The sequence below is a fragment of the Homo sapiens genome, chromosome 21 (assembly GCF_000001405.40).
Source record: "Homo sapiens chromosome 21, GRCh38.p14 Primary Assembly".
Taxonomy (NCBI): domain Eukaryota; kingdom Metazoa; phylum Chordata; class Mammalia; order Primates; family Hominidae; genus Homo; species Homo sapiens.
In genome coordinates, this window is record NC_000021.9 from 46,135,082 (window position 1) to 46,155,887 (window position 20,806).

Below are 20,806 nucleotides of genomic sequence, written 5' to 3' on the forward strand. Positions count from 1 at the left end.
CAGGAGCTACACAGGAGCTGCCCAGGGCCTCTGCAGGGAGAGGGCGCTCCCCTCTCTCGTGCCAGCTCCCACGTGTGCAGCCTCGGACCCTGCAGGGCAGGAACGTCAGTCCCACTGGAAGGGACTTCCAGCTACCTACAGGCTCTACCCACAGCTCCACCCAGCAACTGCCGCTCACCATTGGCCCTTCACCAATTACACCACACCAGCATCCCCTCACCAGCATCCCTCACAAATGTCCCCTCATGGTCCCAACACCAATGTCCCCTCAAATGTCCCCTCATGGTCCCAACACCAATGTCCCCTCACAAATGTCTCCTCCCTCACGGTCCTAACATCAATGTCCCCTCACAAATGTCCCCTCATGGTCCTAACACCAATGTCCCCTCATGGTCCCAACACCAGTGTCCCCTCACAAATGTCCCCTTCATTGTCCCAACACCAATGTCCCCACACAAATGTTCCCTCACGGTCCTAACACCAATGTCCCCTCACAATGTCCCCTCATGGTCCCAACACCAATGCCCCCTCACCGTCCCAACACCAATGTCCCCTCACAAATGTCCCCTCACCATCCCCAACACCAATGTCCCCTCACCAATGTCCCCTCCCAGCCTTCCCTCCTGAGTCCCCTCCCCAGTCTCCCCTCCCAGACTCCCCTCCCAGCCTCCCCTCCCCAGCATTCCCTCCCAGCCTCCCCTCCCCAGCGTTCCCTCCCAGCCTCCCCTCCCAGCCTCCCCTCCCCAGCGTTCCCTCCCAGCCTCCCCTCCCCAGCCTCCCCTCCCCAGCGTTCCCTCCCAGCCTCCCCTCCCAGCATTCCCTCCCAGCATTCCCTCCCAGTCTCCCCTCCCCGGCACCCCCTCCCTGTCACCCCCTGCCGGCCGGATATGTAGGAACCTTTCATGCTGAGTGATGATGGCCCTGTACCCACACACACCTTGGGTGTTTTTTCTCCCTGTAGGATTCTTGTCATTTGTCTTGGATGATGACATCTTTTTTCATGAACAAGTATGTTCTATTTTCAGAATGGGAAATCTCTCCAATAAGGCATTTGAGTTTTCTGCTTCACTCAAGGACACAGTAATCTTCTTTTTAATATCCTGCAGTGCTGACTAACAAATACATTCATACATCATCTGTCACATGTAATAGTCCATCTAGAAGTAATTTGAGAGTATAGTGATTTGCTAAATTATTTTTTAATGGAGAACTTCTCTGGAGACAGGAGGCTGGCTGGGCAGGGAGCTGAGGCAGGGAGGAAAAGTCTCCCAGGAGCCACTGGTTGAAGGGTGGACGGGAACTGAGGACAGGGCCAGTACCGTGCTCTGTGGAACTGTCCAGACCTGCCGGGAGCTGCACCTGGGAAGCGAGGCTATCCTTCCAGCGTCGAAGGTCCTGCTGTCCCTGGGGTTTCTGTCCCATGCACAGAACCAGGGCCCCTTTCCCTCAGACAAGGGGCCTCACAGCCCAGGGACCTGCACTGAACCCCAGGTCCTCTGAATACCTGTGACCCTGCCCACTGTGGGCTGCACTGGGTGTCTGGGGACCCTGGCGCTGAGGTCTGTCTCCTCACGCTGCAACCCCATTCCCTCCAACCCTGGCTCCCATGGGCCACTGACCATATGTCCTGCTCCTGCCCCAAGACCCGCAGCTCAGCTCTCAGCCCTGCCCCCAAAACCGCCAACACACAACACAGGTTTGGTGCCAAAACTTTACTGGAGGTCACATGGGACTAGGGGCCTTCTGTCCCTGCCAGCGCCTCCATTCCCAGGCGATGCCCCGCTGCCTGCCCACCTACCCTCCGGGCCCCACACGAACAAGCTGTGTCCCCACCGAGGTCACAGCTCTGCCCTCTGGGGATGGGCGAGGGAGGGGCCACAGAGCCCGGAGAGGCCTCCCGCACCGTCACTCCTGCCGGGTCTCCAAGCAGTCCAGCACCAGTGCAGCCTGGGTCTTGGCTTCCTGCAGGAGGCTGGAAACACGATGGTGGATCTGATGGACACAGGGAAAGAGGGGTCTGGTAGTTCCAGTCTTCAGCCCAGCTTGCTGGGCAGCAACCTCCGACCCCCACTGCCCACAGCCAGTCGGCAATCACCCTGAGGCTGTGAATCCAGGCCCCCACGTGGGGTCCGGGCACCACACCTGCCTCCTGCTCACCTGGTCCTTAAATGCCTCGTCTGTGATGTCCCTCAGGTTGATGAGCACGTTGAAATATGCGCCAAACACGCCCATCTCCAGGGCTTTGGCCGCCACCTGCAAGGACCCCAGGGAGCCCCTACATGGATCAAGGCTGAGCAAACTGCCGGAAGGAGGGTCTCTGCCTGACGGGCTCTGGGACAGGCCGGACTTCGTCCTCCTCCTCACAAGGAGCCCAGCGCAGCCCCCGCTTTCGCCCCACAGAGGGCTAAGCCCCACCACTGAGCTTAGAAAACAAAACTTTCTCTTATCCAAGCAGGGCTCAGCCCCACAGGAGGCCTGGGAGCAGTCACACTGGAGGCTCTCCGCCACTCTAGGAACCAGGACCACAGTTCTAGAGACAAAGTCATCCCCTGGAGGGCCCCCGGAGGCAGCTTCAGGCTAACGGCCCGCCCACTGCCCAGGGACACTTCCCAGGGACTGAGGGGACACTTCTCTGGGACCAGATGCTGAAAAGAGGCGTCTTTCCTATAAAGAACCCGAAGACCATGAGGTCTTAGGGCAGCTGCAGAAAGTGCTGAGCCCATGAGAGAGACGCTCCTTCTCTGGGACCCTCTGCCCAGCTGTGGCCCCTGTCAGTGTGAGGCATCTACTTCCAAGAGCTGCCTTGTGTGCTTTCTCGTGTTTTGTTGTTTTTGACCCAGGGTCTTGCTCTGTCACCAAGGCTGGAGCGCAGTGGTGTGATCACGGCTCACTGCAGCCTTGACCTCCTGTGCTCAAGCAATTCTCCTGCCTCAGCCTCCCAAGTAGCTGGGACCACAGGCACCACCGTGCCTGGCTCATATGTATCTATTGTACAGCCAGGGTCCCACTATGTTGCCCAGGCTGGTCTCGACCTCCTCTATTCAAGTGATCCTCCCGCCTCAGCCTCCCAAAGTGCTGGGACCACAGGCGAGAACCATTGTGCCTGGGCTGACATAGGTGTTTTCTAGAACAAGACAGTGGGGGTGATACAAGGGGTCTTGGGGGAGTATACACTTATACAGTGGTCAGGGTGGGCTCTGCAGACACATTTGGGTCTCCGTCTGTGGTGCCGCCGTGAGCGAGATCTTAGAAGGCAGCGGACACCCCGGCCCTGTTGGAGGAGGCCAAAGCCCCGGGAACTGCCCGTGAAGTGAGGTCTCCCTACCTGGCTCAGCCCAGCCAACCACCGTGCTCTCCAGCAACTCAGCCCCAACAGCTGCTTCCTGCTTTGCGGCAGGAGGCCTGGGGTCCCCCGGGCCCCCCTACCTGGAGGTCTGACCGGCAGGCCAGGTTCCCACACCGGGCCAGTTCCTGCAGGGCCGGCCACAGCGAGGCCACCGTCTCCGCCAGCGTCAGCGGCACAGAGACTGCCCGCCTCAGACCCTCCTGTAGGGCCGCCGTGCGCCTGAAAGGAGCAAGAGGAGAGCCTGAGCACAGCGGCACACACAGGCAGGCAGTGGACACACTGCACCCCAACAGGGCTGAGCAGGCTGCAGAAGCGGGCGATGGGAAGTCATTCCCAAACACCCAGCACGCCCAGGCCAACCACGCCCCGTCACAGCACCCAGGTACTCGGGATCCTGGCCACCAACTCCCCAGACACAGAGGCCCACGGTGCGGCCGGCCCTCCAGGCTCACCTGTCCTTTTCCTCAGGTGTGTTCTTGGGGAGCCTCATTGCTTCCTGCCATAAAGAGACAGAACCACTGGGCGAGGGACCGTAGGGGGAGCAGCCATGCCCTCTGAGCTCCCACAAGGGGCTGTAGCAAGGAGCATGTCCCAGGCAGGGACCAGTTCTCTGGGAACCAAGCTTCTGTTGGGCCAGTGGTTTATAGCCCTTAGCATCAGGCTTGGTGGAGGAGCAGGGTAGGGGGGGTCGGGGCACACAGCAGATGGTCAGAGACCCGGGGATGTGAGAAGCAGGTAGTTCCCTCAGGGCCCTTATTCTCAGCTAAAGAGCCTGAGGGCCCAGGAGGTCCCCTGAGCCCTCAGAACCTGTAGGCAGGAGTGGCTCTGGGCCTGTGTCTCCAACACAAGCAGCTGCACCGCCCCCAAGCCTGGGCATAAGAGGCTCAGACTGTGCAGAAGGACCAAGAGCAAACCTCAAAGCCCCTCATGTCCCTGCCCCGGTCACAGGCACTGGCCTTTCCTAGGTGCTCATGTGTGTAGCTCACGGCGTCACCGTAAGGCACTCGGCTCCTCGGACCCACCCCGTGTGGAAGAGCACAGCTGGGACCACACACCAACCTTCCAAGGACCCACTGGGAGCCCTACTCACACGGACTGTGGCCAGAGCCCTGGCCAAGGGGTTCTCAGTGGGGAATATGCTCACTTCATCTTGGAAGATTCAGCCAACTCTCCACCAGAAAGTCATCATCAACAGCCCCTACCCTCGACCATGGATGAGAGCAAATGCTCCCTGGGCGCCAGCCAGATCTGGATCCTTTGACCATTCCGACAGCAGTGATCGAGGAACAGAAATGCCCAGTGTCTCCCTGACTGGCTGGGGCATCATCCAGACCAGGCCTCCTGGCTGCAGCCCCTCTCCCAGGCTGTCCTCTGCACAAGGGTCTGTAGCAGTTGCAGGCGGAGGCAGGACAGCCATCCTCAAGCTGCGACTCGCGCTACGAACACTCTCTCACACCCAGGCCTTGCGGTGTCCATGGTCTCCCTGGGCAGATCTTGGCCAAGGGTGTGCTTTAGGTGGCCTCATCTGCGTCCGGCCGAGGCCTGCCCGCCCGGTCCGTTTTGTTTTCTGTGATTTATCGTGAGGCTTGGTTGTGTTGGTGGTGGGGAAATACAGTTTTCTATTCCATCTGGAAATTACTTATGTATTTGGTGCAAGGTACAGATATCTCCTTATGTTTTTCAAAAGTCGACCTTTGCATTGCTCAGAGGGAGCATAAACCAATCCAGCACTCCCCGTCCACCTTCACATTGCTCACAGGGAGTGTACACCAACCCAGCACTCCCCGTCCACCTTCACGTGCCTCACAGGGTGCGTAAACCAATGCAGCACTCCCCGTCCACCTTCACATTGTTCACAGGGAATGTAAATCAACCCAGCCCTCCCCGTCCACCTTCGCATTGCTCAGAGGGAGTGTAAACCAACCCAGCACTCCCCCGTCCACCTTCACGTGGCTCACAGGGAGTGTAAACCAATCCAGCACTCCCCGTCCACCTTCGCGTGGCTCACAGGGAGTGTAAACCAACCCAGCACTCCTCGTCCACCTTCACATTGTTCGCAGGGAATGTAAATCAACCCAGCCCTCCCCGTCCACCTTCGCATTGCTCAGAGGGAGTGTAAACCAACCCAGCACTCCCCGTCCACCTTCACGTGGCTCACAGGGAGTGTAAACCAATCCAGCACTCCCCCGTCCACCTTCACGTGGCTCACAGGGAGTGTAAACCCACCCAGCACTCCCCGTCCACCTTCACGTGGCTCACAGGGAGTGTAAACCAATCCAGCACTCCCCGTCTGCCTTCACATTGCTCACAGGGAGCGTAAACCAACCCAGCACTCCCCGTCCACCTTCACGTGGCTCACAGGGAGCGTAAACCAATCCAGCACTCCCCGTCAGCCTTCACATTGCTCACAGGGAGCGTAAACCAATCCAGCACTCCCCGTCTGCCTTCACATTGCTCACAGGGAGCGTAAACCAATCCAGCACTCCCCGTCCACCTTCACGTGGCTCACAGGGAGCGTAAACCAATCCACTGATTTCGACCACTGATGCCTAGCACAGTCTCACTGTCCCCGCTCATGGTTCTCTAAACCACACGTCTTGTTTCCTTCCTGTCCCTTGATTACATTTTCATCTATGTACTTTTCCTACTTGTTTTTTAATTATTCACCTTATTTTAAATTTCTAAACATAAAATTGTTCCTATGTTTTATATACATATGTTTACATTAGAGACAGGGTGTCGTTCTGTTGCCCAGGCTAGAGTGCAGTGGTGCAATCACGACTCACTGCAGCCTCAAACTCCTGGCCTCAAGCTACCCCCACTTAAGCCTCCTGAGTAGCTGGGACCACAGGTACCTGCTACCACGCCTGGCTTTATTTTTTTTTTTTCTTTTTGGGTGGGTAAATACAGGGTCTTGGTGTGTGGTCTAGGCTGGTTTCAAACACCTGAGCTCAAGGGATTTGCCCACCTTGGTTTTCCAAAATGCTAGGATTACAGGTGTGAGCTATCATGCCTGGCCTATTTCTAATATTTATACTTAAATTCATGACTGTCTTCAAATGCCTGTCCGGGTCTAAAGTTCATCAACCCATTAAAGTATAGAAAAGATCATCTTGTTCTGGGGAGGCCATTTGAACTGTGATACAAGACCCAAAAAATATAAAGTCAGGATTGACACATTCCACGACATAAAGATTAAGAGTCATTGTCAGAAGCCCCACACGCAAAGTCCAAAGACGAACAACAAACGGGGAAAGCTGAGCCCAGAACAAGGCCTGCCTCCCCTATTAAAAAAAAAAAATACTAGAAGGCAGCGAAAGCCCCAAGAGAAACTAAGATAAAAGGAGTCAAAAAATATTCACCAGATAACTTCCTGGAAAAGAAGTAAAAACCACTGCTAAATGTACGGAACATGCTTAACCTGCCCGGTAATGAGAAGCGCATCCCAGAAAGCAGGGTTCTGCAAGCAGGTGTTGGGTGCCCTGGGCCCCCCCGGGGAGGGGGGTGCTTCCCCCAGTGGAAAACCCAAGGGGCCAGGCTGGGAGCGGGCGGGGCTGTGTGCGAGGGGAAGGAAAGGCGGAGCTCTGAGGCAGCAAGAGAGGCGAGCACTGGGCGGGCTGTGGCGAAGGCGGGGTGAACCCCCGAAGGGCCTATCTACTGTAAAAAGTAAATAAATAAAACCTGAATTTTTAAAATGACTGGAAACGGTGATCAGCGTCTACACCTCCCTGCAAACAGTGTGTCCGGAATTGGTTCCTTCTGATGTTCAGATACGTCCGGAGTTTCTTCCTTCTGGCGGGTTCGTGGTCTTGCCTGACTTCAGGAGTGAAGCCGGAGACCTTCTCAGTGAGCTCTTACAGGTGGCGCGTCGGGAGCTGTTTCTTCCTCCCGGTGAGGCCGCAGACCTTCACAGTGAGCCATAAGCTCTTACAGGTGGCGCGTCGGGAGCTGTTTCTTCCTCCCCGTGAGGCCGCCGACCTTCACAGTGAGCGTTAAGCTCTTACAGGTGGCGCGTCGGGAGCTGTTTCTTCCTCCCCGTGAGGCCGCCGACCTTCGCAGCGAGTGTTACAGCTCTTACAGGTGGCGCGTAGCACAGCTGTTAGCTCCTCCCGGTGGGTTGGTGGTCTCGCTGACTTGAGGAGTGAAGCTACACACCTTGGCAGTGAGTGTTACAGGTCGTAAAGGTAGCGAAGGCCCAAAGAGTAAGCAGCAGCAAGATTTAGTTCGAAGAGCAAAAGAACAAAGCCCCCACAGCTTGGAACAGAACCCGCCACGGTTGGCGCTTGCTGGTTTCGGTGGCCAGCTTTTATGCCCTTATTTGGCCCCGCCCACATCCTGCTGATTGGTCCACTTTACAGAGTGCTGATTGGTCCATTTTACAGAGTGCTGATTGGTCCGTTTTTAAAGAGTGCTGATTGGTGCGTTTACAAACCTTTAGCTAGACACAGAGCACTGACTGGTGCGTTTTTACAATACTTTAGCTAGACAGAGAAGTTCTCCAAGTTCCCACCCCAGTAGCTAGACACAGTGCTGACTGGTGTGTTTACAAACCTTTAGCTAGACAGAAAAGTTCTCCAAGTCCCCACCAGACCCAGAAGCCCAGCCAGCTTCACCTCTCCACAGGACCAGAACGGGACCCTCAGGCGACTCCCTCTGCAAATCCGGGACTGTTTATCCGAGGCCCTCATCTTGGCTCCCTCTGTGCCTGTGTGTGGATTCCACGTGCATTTGGGGCCTGCCTTTCTCACCCAGCCTTGTAAGGTAGACTTCCCAACTTAGGGCTGGGGGTCTTGTGGCCCTCCCAGAAACACAGGCGCCCCCACCGCCCTGCTCCAGAGGCTGGGGCACATGTTTCTCTCTCCCTCCCTCCCACTCTGTCCCTCCCTGTCTCTCTCCCCACCTCCCTCTCTCCCCACTCCCCTCCCTCTCTCCCTACCCCCCCTCCCCATCTCCCTCTTGTGGGCGGCAAGCCAGCCAGGTGCCCAGGCAAGAGACCGAGGGCACGAGCTGTTTTAGTACAATAAAATATATAAAATAACAAGAGTTGTACTAGATATAGATCATAGATATGATTATATATAATTATTAATCATTAGTTTGTAGCAATTACTCTTTAACATTATAATAATCTTTGCTCTGCAATCATAACCTAGGAAAAACCAGGCCATACACAGATAGGAGTTGAAGGGGCACGCTAAAAAGTGACCAAAAAACGAGTGTGAGCTCTTTGTCAGGCCTGGGCAGGGCCACTAGAGGGCTCCTTGGTCTAGCGGTAAGGCCAGCGTCTGGGAAGGCGCCCGTTACCAAGCGGAGCATGGTCTATGGTAGTGTCAGTGCCAAAGAAAAGCATCCGCTACTTAGCAGATCGGAAAAGGCAGTCTCCCTTTCTCCAGGGGAGTTTGAAGAAGACTCTGGTCCACCACCTCTTGTAAAGGGCCCACCCGCAGTTATCCCGAGGCCTAATCGTCTCCCTGTGATGCTGTGCTTTAGAGCTCATGCTCCTGTTTCACTTTTATGTTCCACTCTGTACACCTGGCTCCGCCCTCTAGATAACAGTAGCAAACTTAGTAAAAGTATTAGTCTTTAATCTTTCTAAAAAGAGGATTAAAAAAAATGATGTGAGCTGTCCTCTCTCTCTCTGCCTCAGCTACCTAACAGGGAAGGGGCCCCTGTGCGGTGGACATGTGACTCACGTGACCTTATCAATCATTAAAGATGACTCACACTCTTTACCCTGCCTCTTTTGCTTTGTATCCAATAAATAACAGCGCAGCCAGGCATTCAGGGCCACTACCGGTCTCCGTGTCTTAGTGGTAGTGGTCCCCCGGGCCCAGCTGTCTTTTCTTCTCTTTGTCTTGTGTCTTTATTTCTATAATCTCTCATCTCTACACACGGGGAGAAAAACCCACAGACCCTGTAGGGCTGGCCCCTACACCTCTCTCCCCTCTCTCCCTCTCTCTCCCTCCCTCTCTCTCCACCTACCTCTCTCCCCCCTCCCTCCCTCCCCTCTTTCCCCCTCTCCCTCTCTCCCCTCTCTCCCCCCTCTCCCCCTCTCCCTCCCCTTTCCCTCCTCCCCTCTCCCTCCCTCTCTCCCCCTCTCCCTCTCTCCCCTTTTCCCCCTCCCTCTCTCCCCCCTCCTCCCTCTGTCTCCCTCCCTCTCTCCCTCCCTCTCCCTCTCTCTCTGTCTCTCCCCCTCCCTCTCTCCCCCTCTCCCTCTCCTCCCCCTCCCTCCCTCCCCATCCCTCCCTCCCTCTCTCTCTCCGCCATCTGCCTCTCTCCCCACTCTCCCTCTCTTCTCTCTCCCCTCCCTCTCTCTCTCTTTTCTGCCCTTCCCTCCTGTCCTCTCCTGGGCTGGAACTGCTTGGGAGCATCCTGACCTTGTCACTGCCCTTTCCCAGGCTCTCTGGCCCCTGCCCTAGGCTCTGAGCACCCAGCACCCATCTGTGGGCACATCCTGCCAGCTGATGCTCATGTTCCTGTCCCGTTTGGAGGGAGGTGGGGTCACTGCCTGCCTGAGTGGGTGTTATCTGAAGATGGTGTTTCTGTCTTATGCTGTGGCTGAAACGGGTCGTCTCTGGCCTGCCTGAGAGCACTCATCACTGTGTTCCTGAGATTCTTGCAGGCCTCCTTTCCTGGAATTGCAGGCTTCTAAAGAAGGGCCCTGCCTTGCTCCAGGTCTGTGGGGTCCCCCAAGCCTGGGCTCCTGGCTCCCCTGCTGGGAGGGGCCTGTTCCCTTGTACCGGCTGCCATGGCCTGTGAATGTGGGGTCACCCTGGCCGAACCCTCAAACCCTGCTGGGCCCAAGCACTTGCCGGGGTGAGGGCGGTGCTGGTGGTCAAGGTCCAGACAGCGGCCAGTGGTGACGCCCTCAGGCCCCTCCTGGTCCCCAGCCCCTCCCCAGCCGGAGGCTGACCCGCTTCTCACTGGGGCCCCAGCTGGGGGTTCGCTGTTGGTGGGGCCCGGGGAGCCCTGCTGTGGCCGCCACTCACCAGGTAGGCGGTGAAGGCCTCGGCGTCGGCATCCACCAGCGTGGTTAGCTTGGCCGAAGCCTCGCGGAAGGGCGGGATCAGGCGCCGCATCGTCGTGTCCAGGGACTGGAATTGGCGCCGCCCGTAGGTCATGAGGCCCACCATGGAGCCCAGCGCCGCACCCTGCGAGAGGGGTGGATGTGGGGGTCGCAGGGACCCCAGACGGCCCGGGACCGACCCCAGGAAGAGCCAGGGGCCCGGGTGATCCCTGCGGGGGTCCCACCCGTGTGGCCCCCACGTCTCCACCCAGGGCGGCCCCACCGCGCCCTCCCCACCCCGTGCCCTCCCCCCAACAGCGCCCTTCCCCCTCCCCGCCCTCCCCCCAACAACTGCGCCTCCCCTGCCCCTCCCCCCGCGCTCACCATGGCCGCAGCGGCCGCCGCCACCGAGCCGCCCCCGGGGGCCGCAGAGCGGGCACCCACCTCCCCCACGAAGGCGCGCAGGGACTTGCTGCCCAGGCCTCGCTCAGGCCCGCGCTCAGGGACCAGGTACCTGCAGGGTGGGCGCGGCTCAGCGGGTCTGGCCGGGGTTGGTGGGGGGAGCGCAGTCCTCCCGGGGCGGCCCCAGGCCCCACGCCCGTCTGCACCCACGGGGAGGTGACCACTCGGCTGAGAACCTGCGGGGACCCGGCCGGGGTCTCTGTGCCCCCCTCAGCCCCCAGACCCCGGCTTGGCGCAGGCCGAGTAGGCGCCCAAAGGGAGGCGCTGGGAGGACTCAGCCGGGTCTCCACGCAGGGACCCCAGCGCCCCGCAAGGCCCGAGAGGCAGAGCCCGGGAGGGGTGAGAAGAGGGCGGGAGGGCAGAGGCTCACTCGATGATCCGCTCCTTAGGGCTGAAGGGGCACAGGGAGTCCAGGCCCAGCCGGCTCACCACCTGGAAAAGGGGCTTGGAGTGGAAACGGCCTCGGCGCGTCTCCACCACCAGGAAAGCCTCGGAACCCGCGGGTCCCACCCTTGCGGCAGCCGCCCCCTGCCCCGAGCACACAGGTGCTTTTGCGGGGAGCAGGGCAGGGGCGTGGCTGGCACCCCCCACCTCTGCCCCGCCAGGAGCCCTGTGGGCCCCGCCCCAGCAGGCACCCCGTACAGGCTTCTGGAAACAGCCATCACCCTGAGTTGCCCTTGGGGAACCTGAGGCCCAGAGAAAGGAGTTGCCCCCTGGGGACCCCTCAGCAAACTGCTGCTCATGCTTCGCCGCCCCCCAGCACCACTGCCCCATCGCTGACGGGCGGGAAAGATTTTAATTCACCAAGTCTTCACATCTAACAAGTCCTCAAAAGCTGAGGAACAGCCCCAAGTCACCCACACATAAACTTGTATGCCACAAAAGTGAGTTTTACCTAAATTCAAAATAAAGTTGTGACAGTCCCATTTAAGATTAGAATTCATTCTGGGAAACCCATTCAGAACACGTTGGCTATGCGACCCCCACCCCACCCCACAGAGACGGACAGCAGCCGGGCGGGGTGGAGAGTGCCTCCCCGTGGCATAGAACCAGCAAGCCACAAGGCAAAGCCTCCTTCCGCAGAAAACCCCAGGAAGATGCCGGGCATTTTAAAGGCCTGGCTAAGCTAGCAGACAGGACATCATTCGAAACCAGACACGACCAGAAAGACGAGTCCGGAAAGGCCTGCCAGCCTGGAGCTGGGTCTGCCCTGGGGGCAACTGCCCCTCTCTGGCAGCCCCTGATGAGTGGGGGAGGTCTGGGGCCTTCAGAGTGGGGTCCGACTGGAGACCCCTGGAAGGTGACACCCCCAAGGATGAATTAGAAACAGCCACCCGCCAGAGGAAACAGTTGAGGTACTTCCCAGTCCCTGCCTTCCCTTTGGGTGAAGCAGGAAAAAAAAAAAAATCTCCTGGGAATTCCTAATCACAAGCCACCCTGACAGGGCTGCAGGCCTCACCCGACACCGAATTCACTCTTGTGTGGTTCCAGAACTCCAAGCCAAAAACTCAGCTTCAGGGGGTCCTGTGAGGCAGTGTCCACAAGCGCCAGCACAAACCCTCCTTGGAGGAGAAAACTTTGAACCCAGGTGTCCAAGAATTACCATAGATAAAATTCCACAGAGCATGCACTGGCAATCAAAAATCACACAACACAAAGCAAAGCAGCCTCACCACAAGGAGGCAGCACGCAGCCACGGGCACAGCCAGACCTGTGCAGGCCGCAGGCATGGGGCCCTTCAGGTAAAGAAGACAAAACCCCAGCCAGTCACGGTGGCTCACGCCTGTAATCCCAGTGCTTTGGGAGGCTGAGGCGGACGGATCACGAGGTCAGGAGTTCAAGACCAGCCTGGCCAAGATGGTGAAACCCCGTCTCTACTAAAAAAAAAAAATACAAAAATTAGCCAAGTGCGGTGGCACACGCCTGTAATCCCAGCTACTCGAGAGGCTGAGGCAGAGAACTGCTTCAATCCGGGAGGTGGAGGTTGCAGTGAGCCGAGATCACACCACTGCACTCCGGCCTGGGTGACAAAGTGAGGCTCCATCTCAAAAAAAAAAAAAAAAAAGAAGAAGACAAAACGCCACACTGGAAAGCAGACGGGGCCTCACACATAAGAAGACAAGGAAATGTGGAGAAGCGACAGCTGCTGCTTAGACAGAAAGGATGACGTTGGAATGCTGTCACTGGCTCCTAAAACTCTGGAATTTCAGTAATAAACAGGTATTTACCTACTCAATACTTTAAACACCTTCAAGTACTCCCCACAACGTATTAATTGCAAAAGGAAAAATAGTAACATTGCAGTGAAGGGTCCAGGAGGAAGGGGGTCGCCTTGGCAAGTGACGGGTCCACGTCGGCACCCTGAGAAAATGAGCATCATGGGGAGTCGGCGTCTCTGAGGAGGACACAATACCATCTATGCTTTTCCTGCCAAAAATGCGTAACTGGCTGGGCGTGTTGGTGCACACCTGTCGTCCCAACACTTTTAGGAGGCTGACGTGAGTGGATTGCTTGAGTCCAGGAGTTTGAGACCAGCCTGGGCAATAGAGCAAAACCCCATCTGTACAAAATTAGCCAGGACTACATAGTGGTCCTTGCCTGTAATCCCAGCACTTTGAGAGGCTGAGGTGGGAAGATCACCTGAGCCCTGGAGTTTGGGGCTGCAGTGAGCTGTGATTGTGCCACTGCACTCCAGCCTGGGTGACAGAGCAAGACCCTGTCTCAAAAGAAGTAACAAATTAAATTAAAATAAAAATGCACAACTACATCTGGCCACAAGCAACATCAGACTAGTCCCCACTGAGGCGCTTTTAAAAGTCTGTCCTTTGAAACTATGTCAAGGTCAATGAAGGACAAGGAAGACAGGAACAGTTGGAAGAAAGGAGAAAAGGTTGGCTCAGTGCTCTGTGTTACGTGAACTGGATCACGGATTGGAGGAGAAATCGCTATGATGGGAATCACTGGGACACTGAAGCAATTTGATTATGGCCTGAGGATTATTAGATACTAGGATTGTATCAGTGTTGAATTTCCTGATTTTGATAATTACACTGTGGTTATGTAAGAGAATGTCCCTGTTCTTAAGAAACACAGCCTTAATAAATTAGGGGTAAAAGAGTACAATGTCTTCAACCCAACTTTTAAATAGTCCGGAAAAAAATATAATATGATTATACACAAATAAATGGGGCAAAATGCAAGCACTTGGAAAATATGGGTGGGAGGCAGGAGTGGAGGGCCACCTGTATCTTCTCTGTAAGAAATTATACAAAATGTAAAGTCACAAAAAATTTTGTTAACAGCCAAGAATACAACAGACAAGGCCACAAACGCACCAATGATTGAGGCTGGGTTTTGGAAAACCACTGTGAATCCAGAGGAAAGGAGTGGAAGAGAAAGTAAAGACGGAGGCAGAGAAGACATCAAAGCTGCTGCAGCATCACGGGGTCCTACAGCTAGAGAACTAAATAACTGGGTCAGCGATCTAATAGAAGAAAATATGCCCGAGACTAAACAAGGACGGAATCCACAAGTCACGAGAGCTAAATCAGTAAAAACACAAACAGACAAAACGTCCCCAAAAAATCCAGTTAAGTGGATTGTGCTTATTGCGAAAAACACACCTAAAACAAAGTGACCTTGAGTGAAAGGACAGACCAAGGCGGACAGCGGCTCTGCAGTGACCTCGAGTGAAAGGACAGACCAAGGCGGACAGCGGCTCTGCAGACGCTGCCACACCCCAGCAGGACCTGAGGCCCCGGTGGAACCCAGACTCCAGAAGCCTTGAGGCCCAGGTGTCCACAAGACAAAAGGAATCACTTTCTGAAGGAGCCGCTCCGTGGATGGGGATCTAAGTCCCATAGCTAAAGGCACACACATCCATGAGCTGCCAGTTCCAGGGGTGCAGGACGCCCCGATGGAGGTGGTGAGAGGAGGCACAGGCCCCTCCACGGGAGCATGGCCGGCCCAGGAGGCAAGACCAAGCAGAAAGGGTGGGGTGTCCTCTCCGTGGAATTTGCACAGCTGAGCATATCATAGGTCACAAAAAAACCTCAATAAGGTGTCCAAAATAAAAAGTGAAATCTCATCTTCTGAACACAAGTCAATAAAATGAAGGGGGAGGAGGGGGAGGGAAGCTGCGCCCCAGGGCTGTGAGCTCCGCCACCGCCTCCCCACCCTCCCTGCACGCCCCTGTCCGACCCTTCCTCGGCAGCCCGGCCCACCAGCCTGATCCGCTGCTCCTCCTCCAGGATGAAGAGGTTCTCCTTCTCGCAGTAGAAGGCGGCCGCATCCAGCAGAGCCTTCAGGGGCACCAGGCCCACCAGCTGTGAGCCCACCACTGGGAGGCTCAGCTCCTGCCAAGGCACAGGCAGCGTCACCCCCTGGGGGCTGGCTGGAGAATGGCCCTGGCTGGAGGATGTGGGGCCCCCGCCCTGCCCACGGGACAGATCGGCTCGCCCCTCACAGCAGCAGCGGCTGCTCCCGGGCTCACCTGTGCTTCTCGGCAGGTCTCCTCGTAGACCGTGTGCAGTGCCGTGACCTCAAAGTCCAGAAGATTGGTGGACACCTGAGCCAGGTTCTTCTCATCCAGGTACCAGCCAATGCCCTGAACTTTCTTCAGACGTCCTGGCTGCAAAGGAAGAGCGTTCCCCAGCCTGGACTAGGAAGCTCATCCTGCCTGGCCCTGCCAGTCTCTCCTGGCACTTGCATTCCCCAGCTGGACGGGGAGGAGCCTGTGCCTGGGTGGGTGCTGTGGTTCTCCTCCGTCCCTCACTGAGCTGGCCGGGGAGGGCCAGAGAAACTTCGCTTGCCACAGGGAAACGGAGGCCCCAAGGGTCAGACACCGGAGGCCCACCCCGGCAGGCCCCCGCCCAGCCTAGGCCCTGCCTTCCAGCCACGCTGTGTCCTAGATGTTGGGGGAATGCTGAGGGGTGGGGCCCCAGGCACCCCCATGCCGTTCTCCCATCCCATCTGCTCCGCTCCCGACAAGTCCCCTCAGCCCCGCACTTGTCGGGGTGACTGAGTCCACGTGGGGGGACTCTGACCTCTGCCCTTGGCCGGGGCCTAAAGCAGGACTTAGAGGTCCCTGTGCTTTTGTGCTGAGTCTGCAGGTCGGGAAGCCGGGTCCCAGGACCTTGGCTGTTTGTGGGACCGGGGTCTCTGAGTGGGGAACAGATGGGCAGGTGGTCCCCCCCGCTTTCTCCGGGTATCTATACCCGGAGTGACGCTCAGACCGGGTGACCACTGCTGTGCAGACGTGGAGGGAAAGGCCTGGGGGCACCTGAAGGTTTGTAGGGGTGTCGGGGCTCCCAAGGCATCTGGAGGGATATGGGGGGCCCCTGAGGGCACCTGGGACTCCGGAAGTCGCTGTTTCCCAGCAGTATGGAAATGCTGCCACATGTTAACAAAGGGAAGTCCTGCCTCGTTCCCTGGAAAATCCCCAGGAGGCCAGAGCTCCCCAGCTTCACTCCGCCCCTGACCTGCCGACCTGCGCGGTCCCCGCACGGTGTGGACGCGGAGGCTGGGCCGGTCTGCAGGTGGGAGGCCGAACCCTGTCCGGCCGGTGCCCCATCCCCACCGACCTCCCCGCCTGAGGCTCTCAGCCTCTAACCCTTTCCCGAGGGGCTGGGTGGGGCTCCATGGGGTCAGTGAACGGGGTCACCTGGTCCTTCCCGCGGCCCTGCTCCCGCAGGTTGAGCGCGATGCGGTGGGCTTGCTCCTTTGTGCCGAGCAGGTTGATGTTAAAAGCAATGAGGAACTTCCTCGCCCCCGTGGCCGTGGCCCCCCAACTGGGGACAAAGGAGCTGGGACCAAAGTCGGGCGCCCAGTCGGCCTGCTGGAGCTGTGAGCAAGTTCGCTCTGGGGTGAGACATCCCCCACGGGAGGGAACAGCCCCCCGGGGTCCCGGGAAGGAGGGGCCCGGCCCAGCCACCCCAGCCAGGACAAAGGGGCAGGTCCACCTCCTTCCCAGGCCCGACCGCCCGGGGTGGGGGCACCTTCTTAGGGAGGGCCTCGTACTCCCCGGCCCGGATGGCCGGCAGGGTCCGGCGACTGTCCATCCTGGCTGCCTCGCCGTACAGGTAAACTGCAGGAGAGCCCGGCGGTCAGGCCTGGACCGGCAGGGGGTCCAGGACTCAGTTCCTGGAGGACGCAGGTGGAGGGGCTCCCTCCAGCCTAACCCAGGAATGGGCCTCTACTGCACCCTCTCCTGGGGAGTGCCCGTTCTCCGCCTTGGATGGATGCGGGTGGTCCCAGTGGACCCTCAGTGTGGGCCAGCACCCCTGCCCACCCCCTCCTCAGAGGGCCCTGAAAAGGCGAATTGCAGGGTTAGGATGGAACATGTGGGACATGCTAACGGCAGGACGTTCATGCTTCTGTTTTCTTTGTATGATAAACAGAACCGCAAGCAACCACATAAATATAACGGCAGAGAAGAGGAAAAACTCGTGAACCCGCACACCAGTGTGACTGTGACGTGGGCCCTGCGTCGGGATTTCCTTCGGGGGGACTGGCATGACCGTGACGGGGGTTACGTGTGCCCTGCATGCCGGCGTGACCGTGACGGGGGTTACGTGTGCCCTGCACGCTGGCGTGACTGTGACCTACGTCCCTGCCTCGGGATTTCTTTCCAGGAGCGCTGGGTTGGTGCAGCCTAGGGGTGGGTATGCACTTTGTCCCGTTTGTCTCTGTTTGTTTCATATCATTTTCTTGATTTAGTTAATTTCCCAAAGTGAAATTATTCTGCTCTAGAAGGCGTGGACTTTAAGGCTCTTGGTTTGCCTGTGCAGCTGCTCTGCGGTGTAGTCTGAGGAGGCCCCGGGCCTGCACGGCCGCAGGCGAGGCTGCGTTTATTTCGGTATTGAGGGAGCTGCGCTTCTGCATGTTGGCTTTTTGGAACACTCTGCCCTTGCAAGAGCAGTCAAGGGCAGGGAACTGGGGGATACAGAAGGAGCCAATAACCCACACCAATGAGACGGGAGCAGAGTGAGGGGGGCGGGGGGGCACGCTCACCTGGCACGTCCAGCTCCTCTGCCAGCCTCTGGCCAAAGGCCTGGGCGCAGAGCACACACTCATCCACGCTGACGCCCCTCACGGGGATGAAGGGGCAGACGTCTAGGGCCCCCATGCGGGGGTGCTCTCCTGCAGAGAGACGGCGAGGCCGGGCAGGAGGCCAGGTGTGGGAGCGGGTGGGAGCTCCACGGGGTTCTCGGACCCTCTGTCCTCTCCGGCCTGGGCAGCCCCCAGTCCACACACCCAGCAAGCTGCTCACACTGACCCACAGGGAGGAGGCCGGCCCTGGGCGCTCCCAGCCCTGCCCCAGCGGCAGCACCAGCCCTCCCGGGACAACGGAAGTTCCCGCACCGTCCTCCCAGCCAGTGTGGGGGAGGTCCTTCAGCCCAGGAGCAGCAGCACCTGAGCGGGTGGTCTGGCATCTCTGGGATAAACCTGTCCCTCTCCTAACACTCACAAAAATAACTTTGAAAGGGGTGCAAAGCTCAGCTCTCAGGCAGCCCCGGCCAGGCCAAGAGGGGGCGCTCGAGGCTGGGTTCCGGCCACCCCAACCCCCTCCCCTGAAGCCGAGAATCCACTCTGCGTTTCCAGAGCATTCTTCTCACTAGCTGAGTCCCTCGCTGTGGCTACACCAAGCCGTGGGTCGGCGCCCACCCCAGGGGACGCCAGCCTCCCCCGCCTTTGCCGCCACCGCCCAGGGCTGGCCACTTAGAGATAAGCTTCTCATCCATCCACCCCTCAGGATCACTGTGGATCCCTGGCCTCTCATGAGCGGCCCACAGCCCAGCCCCTGGCCAGCGCCCGTGTGTCCACACACCTTTGGCCCTGCCTGCCCACCGAGGTGTTTGGCTTGTGGGCTGTTGACAGGTCAGCTTCCAGGCAGCCCTTCCCCCACCAGTGCCTGCTCCAAGACTGGCTCTCAGCCCCCTTGACGAGTGGGCAGGTGGACGGGGCCCACAAACCTTCCCCGGCGTGGCCCCCTCCCCCCACCCAGCCGTGAAGGTGGCCCGGTGCTGTGGGAGCGTGGCGACCTGGGGGTCCCCCAGAGCACAGCCCTGCAGGCAGGATGGGGGCCATGACCCCCACACTCCAGGGTCCTCCTAGGAGAGCCAGAGCCAGCCCCACTGGACCCCACGTTCCAAGCCTGGGCCCCGGGCCTACCCCCTCTCCCAGGACACCAGGACAGGGCTCGGCCCTGACATTCTGAGACACGGCAGCCACAGGAGAGCCCAGAGACCTCACCTTGGTGCCTGCTCATGTCGATAAGTCGGGAAGCTACCCGGGCAGCGTTGAGGGCCCCCTCCACCACGCACTCCGGCGGCCCCACGAAGGTGTACACGGTGCGGTTGGTGGAAGGGCCTGCGTCCACATCCAGCAGCACGCAGCCCGGGGTCTGTGTGATGGCTCCAGAGATGGCGTCGATCACCTGGGACACAGGCCCGGCCCCCACACCTCAGTCTCCCCGTTTGAAAGAAGGAAAAGGAGCTTGGAGGTGGCTGCACCCCGAGACACAAATGGGGGCTGAGGAGGCGGGCCAAGCCTTTGGGGGCTCTCCGACAAGCTGAGCTCCCACCGAAAGTGCCCGCACACAGCGGCCGCCCGGGAACCCTCACAGCAGCCACAGTCACTCCAGCCCAAGCACAGTCCCCACAAGGGGCTGCAGGTGGTGCCTCCAGGAGAGACTCACGGGCTCTGCTCCGACAGACAGATGCCAGAGACGTGGCCGGGGATCCAAGAAGGTGACCACAGGCGCAGGTCACAGAGGGGCCGGGACCCCCACCCCCGAGCAGGGGAGGGACAGATCACCAGCATGGGGGAGGGGCCTGAAGGGCCTAGAACCTTCCGGGTGGCAGGACTGCTGGGAGCAGGGGCTCAGCCCCAAATCTTGCCCTGTCCCAGGGCCTTGGTGCTGGCTGGAATCCCGGCATGACGAGGCCTCCCTGCACCCCTGCGGGTGACCCCTGTGGCCTGGTGCTGCGCTCTGGGAGGCCTTCCAGGTGGCCCTTAGGGCCTGCGTTTGTTCCCGGAGGAGCCTGGACCTCAGGGCTGTGGAAGGCGAGAGGCCGGACCTGGGGGCCTGCTGCCCCCTCTGTGCCTACTTCGTTTTGGGTCCAGTGAGGATGGTGGCTGCAGGGTGGGGGCTCAGCAAGCTAACTCCAGTGGAGATGGAGAGGCGGCAGTGGGGACCATGCTGGGCCACCTCGTGTGGCCTCACACAGCCCTTTCAGTCAGTGGCAGGAGCCCCATTTTCAGGGGGGAGCACCAAGGCCCTTTGAGGCCCAGAGATCTGCCCAACCCCCCACCGAAAGCACCCGAAAGGCCCCTGAAGCCACAGCCAAGCCTCAGCCCCCACAAGCACCAGTCGTGTTCCACCCACCCCTGGGTCAGGCACTCCCCAGGGCCCTGAGCCACGGGATGTCCTTGGGGCCCACGGGCAGCGGCTCTGCCCATCCTGGGAAGACGACCCGGGACACCAAGCCCACCACCTCCTCCATGGCCTGGGCCTTAGCCACTCAAGCTGCCCCATCAGCCCTAGATGCTTGACCAGCTCCTCGGGCCTCACCTCCTGGTTCTTCCCCTCCGAAAAGTTGGGGACGCATTCCACCAGCTGGGACATGGCCAGCACCTTGATCCAGATGCTCCTCTCTGGGCAGATGGAAGGACAGGGCCAGTGCTCCGCAGCCGCCGCCAGGGCCTTTATACGCTCACCGGCAGCACCTCCCCACCGGCTTCTCATTAACCAGCAAGGCACAAGGAGCAGTGGGGCCAAGGTCCCTGTGCAGCCGCGGAGTGGGGTGCTGCAGAGCCACCCCGGGTGCTGTTGACCCAGAGGGGATGGCTCCACTCAGCCAGAGTGTGGGTTCCCGGAAAAGAAGCACATGCCAGGGTGAAGGGGCATGTGCCGAGGACCCCCAGGAGCATCAGGCCAGCCTGGCTGGAATCCTGTCGTGACGAGGCCTCCCTGTGCCACTGCGGGTGAC

General features: G+C 58.9%; 1 protein-coding gene and 1 long non-coding RNA gene across 4 annotated transcripts, besides 10 other annotated features; one reads left to right on the plus strand and one right to left on the minus strand.

Moving 5' to 3' along the window:
• On the minus strand, window positions 1,181–20,498 carry FTCD (formimidoyltransferase cyclodeaminase). 3 transcript variants are annotated; one of them, NM_001320412.2, is made up of 15 exons: window positions 20,389–20,498; window positions 19,068–19,251; window positions 17,826–17,954; window positions 16,811–16,899; window positions 16,477–16,656; window positions 15,307–15,444; window positions 15,038–15,169; window positions 11,185–11,246; window positions 10,737–10,866; window positions 10,336–10,497; window positions 3,799–3,842; window positions 3,427–3,565; window positions 2,158–2,253; window positions 1,834–1,972; window positions 1,181–1,413 (listed from the first exon to the last, which is right to left on the minus strand). In NM_001320412.2, the coding sequence occupies exons 1-15, from the start codon at window positions 20,440–20,442 to the stop codon at window positions 1,373–1,375; spliced, it is 1,719 nt and encodes a 572-aa protein (NP_001307341.1). In that variant the 5' UTR covers window positions 20,443–20,498; the 3' UTR covers window positions 1,181–1,372. The 3 variants fall into 3 exon arrangements, with proteins under 3 accessions (NP_001307341.1, NP_006648.1, NP_996848.1); NM_006657.3 differs by having other exon boundaries at window positions 1,904–1,992; NM_206965.2 differs by lacking the exon at window positions 1,181–1,413 and having other exon boundaries at window positions 1,698–1,992.
• Window positions 1,252–2,025: an enhancer, noted in NCBI's record as "H3K27ac-H3K4me1 hESC enhancer chr21:47556247-47557020 (GRCh37/hg19 assembly coordinates)". NCBI's record gives its function as "activates a minimal SCP1, AML or CMV promoter by ChIP-STARR-seq in naive H9 embryonic stem cells {active_cell/tissue: H9 hESC(naive)}" and the evidence as "EXISTENCE:reporter gene assay evidence [ECO:0000049][PMID:30033119]".
• Window positions 5,114–5,303: a silencer, noted in NCBI's record as "fragment chr21:47560109-47560298 (GRCh37/hg19 assembly coordinates)". NCBI's record gives its function as "represses an EF-1alpha promoter that drives an FKBP-Casp9 reporter gene in an ReSE screen in HepG2 liver carcinoma cells {active_cell/tissue: HepG2}" and the evidence as "EXISTENCE:reporter gene assay evidence [ECO:0000049][PMID:32094911]".
• Window positions 6,861–7,381: an enhancer, noted in NCBI's record as "H3K4me1 hESC enhancer chr21:47561856-47562376 (GRCh37/hg19 assembly coordinates)". NCBI's record gives its function as "activates a minimal SCP1, AML or CMV promoter by ChIP-STARR-seq in naive H9 embryonic stem cells {active_cell/tissue: H9 hESC(naive)}" and the evidence as "EXISTENCE:reporter gene assay evidence [ECO:0000049][PMID:30033119]".
• Window positions 6,861–7,428: a biological region, named in NCBI's record as "Sharpr-MPRA regulatory region 3768".
• Window positions 7,134–7,428: a silencer, noted in NCBI's record as "tiled region #3768; HepG2 Repressive DNase matched - State 17:Gen3', and K562 Repressive non-DNase unmatched - State 7:EnhWF". NCBI's record gives its function as "represses a minimal TATA promoter and a strong SV40 promoter by Sharpr-MPRA in HepG2 and K562 cells {active_cell/tissue: HepG2 | K562}" and the evidence as "EXISTENCE:reporter gene assay evidence [ECO:0000049][PMID:27701403]".
• Window positions 16,533–17,566, plus strand: FTCD-AS1 (FTCD antisense RNA 1). Its single transcript, NR_170989.1, has 2 exons — window positions 16,533–16,678; window positions 17,213–17,566. It is a non-coding gene; the product is annotated as an FTCD antisense RNA 1 (long non-coding RNA).
• Window positions 16,750–17,453: an enhancer, noted in NCBI's record as "H3K27ac-H3K4me1 hESC enhancer chr21:47571745-47572448 (GRCh37/hg19 assembly coordinates)". NCBI's record gives its function as "activates a minimal SCP1, AML or CMV promoter by ChIP-STARR-seq in primed H9 embryonic stem cells {active_cell/tissue: H9 hESC(primed)}" and the evidence as "EXISTENCE:reporter gene assay evidence [ECO:0000049][PMID:30033119]".
• Window positions 17,454–18,159: an enhancer, noted in NCBI's record as "H3K27ac-H3K4me1 hESC enhancer chr21:47572449-47573154 (GRCh37/hg19 assembly coordinates)". NCBI's record gives its function as "activates a minimal SCP1, AML or CMV promoter by ChIP-STARR-seq in primed H9 embryonic stem cells {active_cell/tissue: H9 hESC(primed)}" and the evidence as "EXISTENCE:reporter gene assay evidence [ECO:0000049][PMID:30033119]".
• Window positions 18,160–18,863: an enhancer, noted in NCBI's record as "H3K27ac-H3K4me1 hESC enhancer chr21:47573155-47573858 (GRCh37/hg19 assembly coordinates)". NCBI's record gives its function as "activates a minimal SCP1, AML or CMV promoter by ChIP-STARR-seq in primed H9 embryonic stem cells {active_cell/tissue: H9 hESC(primed)}" and the evidence as "EXISTENCE:reporter gene assay evidence [ECO:0000049][PMID:30033119]".
• Window positions 18,864–19,567: an enhancer, noted in NCBI's record as "H3K27ac-H3K4me1 hESC enhancer chr21:47573859-47574562 (GRCh37/hg19 assembly coordinates)". NCBI's record gives its function as "activates a minimal SCP1, AML or CMV promoter by ChIP-STARR-seq in primed H9 embryonic stem cells {active_cell/tissue: H9 hESC(primed)}" and the evidence as "EXISTENCE:reporter gene assay evidence [ECO:0000049][PMID:30033119]".
• Window positions 19,568–20,271: an enhancer, noted in NCBI's record as "H3K4me1 hESC enhancer chr21:47574563-47575266 (GRCh37/hg19 assembly coordinates)". NCBI's record gives its function as "activates a minimal SCP1, AML or CMV promoter by ChIP-STARR-seq in primed H9 embryonic stem cells {active_cell/tissue: H9 hESC(primed)}" and the evidence as "EXISTENCE:reporter gene assay evidence [ECO:0000049][PMID:30033119]".